Below are 8,345 nucleotides of genomic sequence, written 5' to 3'. Positions count from 1 at the left end.
GAATTTAATGAGATGTGGCCGGATTAAAGATGACAGGCTTTAACTTATGAAATACTTCAGGGAAAATAATATAATTCCAAGATAGTATGGAATTTGAAACAGCAATGTTTGGGAGCTATGAACAAAAGGAACCAAGTTTATGAGGCATGAGAAGTTAGTTTGGAAATAGCCTCTCCCTTACCCGGCCCTCCTGCTATTTTTTGCTCATATACTTCCTTCTATTCTGATTCTGAAACAAAAACAAATCATAGGCCCTGCAACAACTGAAGAAACTTTCCAATGCTCTCTAGAAAGGAAACTGACTTGACCTAAGCAATGCACTTCCTGCATGTACCACACCTATTAAAAATTAAGAAATGACCTTGGTGATAATTGTGCTCAGAGGAGTTTTAGAGCAGTGAAATTATTCCGTATGATGCTACAAGGATGGACACATGTCATTATACATTTGTCAAAATCTGTAAACTGTACAACACCAAGACTGAGCCTGAATGTAAACTATGCACTTTGGGTGACTATGAGGTGTCAATATAGGTCCATCTATAGTAATTAATGTATCGCTCTGGTGCATGATATCAATAATGGGGAAGTTGTGCTTGTGTGGAGACAGTGGGTATGTGGAAACCCTCTGTACGTTCTGTTCAAATTTGCTGTAAACTTAAAACTGCTTTAAAAGATGAAATGTGTTAATTTAAAAATCAACAAATAAACAAATAATGAAAGTGAGGAACCTACCTCCAGGAGAGGAAATTGACTTTACCTAACCAATGCACTTCCTGCGTGAGCTGCATCTGTTAAAGATCAAGAAGCCACCTCAGTGGTACAGTGCTCAACTACAGAGTGTCCTGACGTTTGTTGGTGGGGTTGCAAAAGACATCATAATGTCATAATGTCACCATTTATTATGGTATCTGTAAGGTCTATATGAATCACTCAGAGATGTTGTTAAAAAATGCAAGTATAGGCCGGGCATGGTGACTCATGCCTGTAATCCCAGCACTTTGGGAGTCCAAGGCGGGTGGATCACTTGAAGTCAGGAGTTTGAGACCAGCCTGGCCAACATGGCAAAACCCCATCTCTACTAAAAATACAAAAATTAGCCGGGTATGGTGGCACGCGCCTGTAGTCACAGCTACTCAGGAGACTGAGGCGAGAGGATTGCTTGAACCTGGGAGGTAGAGATTGCAATGAGCCGAGATCATGCCACTGTACTCCAGCCTGGCTGATAGAGCAAGGCTCTGTCTCAAAAAAAAAAAAAAAAAAAAAAATGCAAGTGGCCGGGCATTGTGTCTCACACCTTCAATCCCAGCACTTTGGGAGGCCGAGGTGGGTGGATCACCTGAGGTCAGGAGTTCGAGATCAGCCTGTCCAACATGGCAAAACCCCATCTCTACTAAAAACACACAAATTAGCTGGCGCGCGCCTGTAATCCCAGCTACTTGGGAGGCTGAGGCAGGAGAATCTCTTGAACCTGGGAGGCGGAGGTTGCAGTCAACTGAGATTGTGCCACTGTACTCTAGCCTGGGCAACAGAGTGAGGGTCTGTCTCAAAAAAAAAAAAAAAAAAAAAAAAGAAAAGAAAAAGAAAAAAAGAAAGAAAAAGAAAGAAAAGAAAAGAAAAAATATGCAAGTATAATTCAGTAGTTTTGCCATTGGGTCTGAGATTCTGCATTTTTAACAAACTCCCAAGTGATGCTTGAAGAATTTAGAGGACACTGGGCAAACATGCATCCCCTTCCTCAGCTAAATTACTGCTGCTGAAGTCAAATAAAATATAGAGACAAATCTCTGAATTTAAAACATTTTCATCTATGTAGGAGGTGGGTTTAAATATATATGTATACATATATTTTTAAAAACCATTTTATTTGAGAAGCAAGAACTGTAATGTGGGGCATACACAGAGACCAGGTGGTCTTCAGTATGCCAGAAGAACAAAAACTTCAGAAGTTTTATAAAAAGGAGAAATTTTACAAATTGTTTCGAAAGTAAGTTTATTGACGCTAGTAAAGCTTTGGGGAACCAGCAAGCTCAGAGATTGGTGAGTGACAGCGATAACTAAAACTACTCTTAGAGTTGTAGCAGATTGTTTCAGTAGCTATTCAGTAACGGGTTTCAGATTACAGAAGACAAGCGAGCAGAGGATTATATCCTTGGTGCAATGCTCTATGCCCTGAGTGCTTTTATTCCCTGGTCTCTAGACTCTGTTTTAGTTGAGTATGACAAAAATTACCCAATTTGTATAATCAACTTTCACTGTGCCTTTGCTGCATACCTTTACTGCATACCCAGAGATTCATCATTAAAGAATAGTTCCTTTGGGTCTTGGACACATTATTTGTTCAGCATGATTCTCCCTTCTCTAAATCTCATTATTGCTTTGCTGTGGTTCTCTTATGGAACTTAGCATGTTCTTTTGCTATACTTATGTATATATATCTTATACCCCTACCCTGCCCTTCTCCATCTCCACTATCCCCAACCCTCATGCTAGATTAGGGTCCCACTATAAAGTGTTCTTATAGATTTCTGTGCTTTTTATTAATAGCAGTTATAAAAACTCTAATTAAGTAATTATGTAATTTTTGTGGGTGTCTCCACTACTAAATAAAAAACTTCATGAGGTCAGGGATCCTGTATATATTGTATAACACTGTATCCCCATCATTACCACATTATCTGGCACATAACAGGTGCTCAGTGAACTGTAAGGTTCATGAAAAGAGCAACTTTGTATTCCCTGAAGAACCCACCATAGAGCCCTGTATATCATAATTGTTTGGCAAATAATTATTAACTTAATGGCAATAATCTTAGGAGATATTAAACAACCATTTTCTCATTCACTCATTAATTCATTCAACAGCAATTTATTGACTAGCCACTGTATGCCAAGCATGATTCTGTCCTCAAAGATCTAACAATATCCAGAAAACACACTGCTTCAAGATGAAGTTCTCTTTCCTTGGTTTAAATTGAGTTATTTTTCGGACCAACAGGTTCCCAAGGTCATGTTTATGCCTTTATGAAAGTTTTTAGGTAAGAAAGAGACATGGTCCAGTCTACACTTTTAGATGGTGTATTATTAACTCAGAATAGAGGAAGGATGTGGGGAGGGAAGACTAAAGGCAGAGAGACCATTAGAGGATCGTTGCAGCCAAGCAGTTGAGAGATGGTCTGGACTAGAGCAGTGGCAGTGGGGAAGGAGAGGCTTGGGTAAATTTGGGAGAGATTTAGGAAATAAAATGAACAGTACACTGTGATCAACTGGATTTGGTAGACGAGGAACATGGAGACTTAAATAATATAAGTCTAGAGTTCAAGAAACAGGCCTACGATGGAGATACAAATCCAGGCACGATCAGCTTGGAGCAACAGGATGGAAGAGATCACCCAGAGATACTGTAGAAGACTCTGAAAACATCCCATTCAGAACAAAGGCTGAGGAATGCCCCCATCAAGGAAGAGGTAAATTAAATGTACATTGCAAAGTAGCCTGCAAAGAAGACTGAGTGAATGGCTAGAATGGTAAGAGTAAAAGAAAATCAAGCACCTGTGAGACATAAAAGTGGTATCAAAGAAGTCCAGAGACGCCGGACACAGTGGTACATACCTGTATTCCCGGCTACCTCGGAGGCTGAGGCAGGAGGATGGCTTAAGCCTAGGCGTTTGGAACTGTACTATTTTTATAACTTTTCTACAAGTCTAAATTGCTTCAAAATGAAAAGGTTTTAAAAACTCAGAGCTCCTTACAATTTTCAAGTTTGTTTTATTTTCTCCCATTGGTTAACATACACTGTCAATCTTGACATTTTGGGAAATCTGGAAAAAAATCTTTAGAAATAGGGGCAGGGAAGGACATAGATTTATTTATTGTCCAAAGACTGTTAGCATTGTGACATGTTTCATCTGGACTTTTTTTCCCCTAGAATTTTTTTTGGCAGAGTGGTAATTAAATAATAGTGGACTTTTTTTATACTTATTTTTACTGAATCTTTTTTTACATTTATTTTTACATTTATTATAGTAGTAATAGGAGACTTTTAAGATGTCACACCAAAGACATCTCTGTTCCCTTTTTTGCAATACCCCAAATGAAAAATAAGAAATGAGACACCTAAACCTCAGCCCTCATTATGTGGGAAGAAGAGCTAAGGCTGCCTCATGCAGTGGAGGTCGAGGACACCAGGAGGGAAAACCTGCCACTACAGATGTTGGGCACAGTCAGCAGAACACGGGGTTGTCTGTATTGGGTGGTTTGTAGACCCTGGGCAGAAAATTCAATGACTACTTGTTTGGAACAACCAGACTGAAGGGCAGAGGGGGCTTGGAGTTTCCTTACCCTTGTGTTAATCGCAGGATTGGCAAAGGACACATCATCTTTGAAATCAGAAAAACATCTGTGAGTGACAAGCAGCCCTGACTAATATCTAGTCTGTGAAAAGAGGAAATCCGTACCAATCATCAAAACAGTTATAAAACCCTGTACCCTATGCAACTTTTCTGTGAATCAGGGAGGCTTTGGCACCCCCAAGCCCTGCCCTGACCCTGTTCCCATGCTATATCCTGCAAGCAGCTCCATCAAGGAAACAAGGATCCACCCTGGGAAAAGAGCCCTCTGGATACATGTGACAGGGAGTCCAGGATGACAGCTGAGGGTGGGCCCAGAGAGCCCCCAGTCAGGATCCAAGGGCAGAAGGCTCGGGGGACCTTCTCCTGAGGATACAAAGTTGATGGTAGACTTCATGTACTTGATTAACCAAAAAAAAAAAGTTATGAAACAAAGAAAAAGTAAGATGATATGAATCCTGAGGAAAGCAGAAAGTTGTATGAGAAATGAAATGCACCCATAGTACATCACCTAGCACAACTGTGACTAGAGAGGCTCATAACAAGGTGAACATCGAATATTGTTCTAACCGAAAACAGTGATAAAATCATCTTGGCAGGATGTGGGGAGAGCAAAATAGGGAGGGAGTATAATTGAGCTAAATCTTCCGGAAATAGATAATATCTAGTTAAACCTCAAAATGGCACCATTTAGAGCTAAGTACCAAAAGAAACATCAAAGTGATGGCCCCTAGGAACAAGATGGGGGCAGGAGCAGGAGACTGCTGGTGTTATACTAAGCCCTGTCAAACTATTTCACTTCCAATATTATGTGCATGTACCACTTGATTTTTAAAACTTATAAAAATCTGAGAACTATCTGGAAAGTAGTGGACAATGTATCTCTTCTTACACAGCTTTTTTCCCCCATATAATTGGAGGAAAAACCCCCCGCAGATTATCTGATAGAATCAGCATTTCATAGACCCATATTCATGCCACTCCTGTGGATCTGAAACACAAGATCTATAGTCCACATAATAATAATCCTATCCTGACCTTTTCTTTGCATCTTCTAAGTTTTGAACTCTGGGGTCTGGCACTTGCTCTCTCCAAAATAACTAGTGAAACTTCAGTGCTTAGCTCTGAAAATTACATATCTGGTGGGGAAAACAACCAACTCAGCAAGATAAGTAGATAATGTCTCTCCGACCCTTTATAGCTGCAGAAAAGTAGGTATGATTTCGCTTCTTGAAATTGTCTTTCCAAATGTTATGTCTAGCAAAGGAAAACTGTATAAAACATCTAGACTTCAGAGAATATTATTGTGTCCTATGAAAGTAATCACTAACTGCTACCAAGTCTGTCATCCTGAAGGCTTGTTTAACTCTAAGTTGTGCTGTTCTGATGACATTGAAATGAATGCTTTTTCCTGGAAGGGATATACGCGTAAGAATTTATTTTGTCGAGCCAGAAGAGAGAGGAAGAGCTCTTTCCTGTTTTCCCACATGCACAGAGATTATAAAACCTATGCTTCTGTTCAATTGTTAAGAGTTTAGGAGTTTGTGATCCATTGAAATGAAGATTTCTTACCTGGACACTGCTTCCTTGTCTTGGAGCTGACCATCCCCTCTGGCCTGGCAGCAGGAATTTTCACCCCATCCCTAGATATTATGAGAAATCAGACCCTTGGCCCACCCAACACTCACCAACTAACTGCCACCTGCTAGTAGCCCCAGCCCCACCAAGTAGCTGTTGTTCCTCTGTTCTTTCCTACAGCCTCTATTACTTTTTTTTTTTTTCTTTTTAGACAGGGTCTCCTCTGTTGCCCAGGCTGGAGTGCAGTGGTGCATTCACAGCTCACTGCAGCTTCAATTGCTTGGGCTCAAGAGATCCCACCACCTCAGCTTCCCAAGTAGCTGGGACCACAGGTGCATGCCATCACGTCCAGCTAATTTTTTGTATTTTTTTGTAGAAACGGGGTTTCACTGTGTTGCCCAGGCTAATCTTGAACTCCTGAGTTCAAGCGATCTGCCCACCTCAGCCTTCTAAAGTGCTGAGATTATAAGCGTGAGCCACTGTGCCCAGCCTACTATTTTTTTAAGGTTAAGATTTTATTTTCAAGGCTTCTCGTGTTGTACAGAAAGTAAAAATGGTGTTCCAACCTCAGTGTAATTGGTAGCTGTGACTGGCTATGACTCACATGCCAATCACAGCTATCCACACTACCACAAGATCCTTACATGAAAACCTGGTAATACTTACAATTTGTTAGGGTGAATTCTCCAAGCTTGGTGGTGGATTTCCAAGAGGTACAAATGGAAGAAGGCAGACTACCACTCTTTGGGTGGGCGGGTAGGTATCTTGGCATTTGTATCCCAGGCACTTCAGCTACCAAGGAACTCCATATGAACAATAAAACCAATCCCGAACAGTCCCAATACTTTCCCTTCCCAGACCCCTCTGCTTCCAATATCCTCAGCCCACCTTCCAGGCCCCCTGCCCCAGACCCTGCCCTAGAGGGTTCCTTTCTAGTTCCCGCATCCCCAAGCAATGGATGGAAAGGAAATCTCTTTTCACACAGACCTCAATCTCTGGGAACTGGTACCCAAGAGGAGTCTAATTGATTATTGATTGTTGATTGATTGATTGAGACGGGGTCTCACTCTGTCACCCAGGCTGAAGTGTAATGGCATGATCAGGGCTCACTGCAGCCTCAACCTCCCAGGCTCAAGCGATCCTCCTACCTCCACCTTCCAAAGTGCTGGGATTACAGGCACAAGCCACTGCGCCAGACCTAGTTGATTTTTGAGATGGGATACACTGAGCTTTATGGGCTAGCCAACCCCATCCCATGTTGTTGCCCTACAAAGATTTCCAACACACTTGCTCATACACAGGCAACCATGGGGAATGCAACCCCTAGCGAATAATCTCCGGAACCTGTTTGCACCCAAGACACAATACTCACCTACTTGCGCAGAACCCAGAAACGTGGCTCATTGTGTGGCTGTTTCCTCTGAAATCTTTCATGGTTATGAACCGCAGTGAAATCTACTGTCTTGTTATTGAGGTGTATTGGGTTTTGGACTTCCATACTAGTAGGTGAACAGCCCACAGACCTCAGAAACTCAAAGATCAGGGCCAGAATGGTATATTGGCAACAGTGCATAGAAAAGAAAGGTGTGGCCGAGCGCGGTGGCTCACGCCTGTAATCCCAAAGTGTAATCACACTTTGGGAGGCCAAGGTGGAAAGATCACTTGAGCCCAGGAGTTCAAGAGCAGCCTGGGCAACATGATGAAACCCTTCTTCACCAAAAATAAAAAAATTAGCCTGGCATTGTGGCATGCACCTGTGGTCCCAGCTACTCAGGAGGCTGAAGTGGGAGGATTGCTTGAGCCCAGGAGATGGAGGCTACAGTGAGCTGTGATCACCATCACTGCACTCCAGCCTAGGTGACAGAATGAGACCCTATCAAAAAAAAAAAAAATTTGGTCTGGGTGTGTTTATTTTCATCAAGGTTGAAATGTGTGCACTTTTCCGTGTAATGCTACGTTTCACTTTGTAAAAGCTTAATTTAAAAAAGTGAGTGATACCTTTCTCTTAGAGTTGTTGTGAGGAATACATAAAATAGCAGATCTGAAGCAACTTTTTCTTAGTGTAAGAATAAATGCTATTCTTATACTAATAAGATTATACTATAGCATAAATGCTATTCTTATTCTAATAAGAGTATACCATAGAATAAATGCTATTCTTACACTAATCAGAATATACTGTAGGATAAATACTATTCTTATACTAGTATGGATATACTATAGAATAAATGTTATTCTTATACCATTATACTAAGAATACACTATAGAATAAATACTAGTCTTAGACTAATAACAATATACTATAGAATCAATGCTATTGTTAAACTAAGAACCGGTTGCTTCAGATCCGCTATTTTACGTATTCCTCACAACAACTCTAAGAGAAAGGTATTATTCACTTTTGAAACTAAGCTTTAA

The sequence above is a fragment of the Homo sapiens genome, chromosome 17 (assembly GCF_000001405.40).
Source record: "Homo sapiens chromosome 17, GRCh38.p14 Primary Assembly".
Lineage (NCBI taxonomy): Eukaryota > Metazoa > Chordata > Mammalia > Primates > Hominidae > Homo > Homo sapiens.
Note: the sequence above shows the minus strand (reverse complement) of the source record.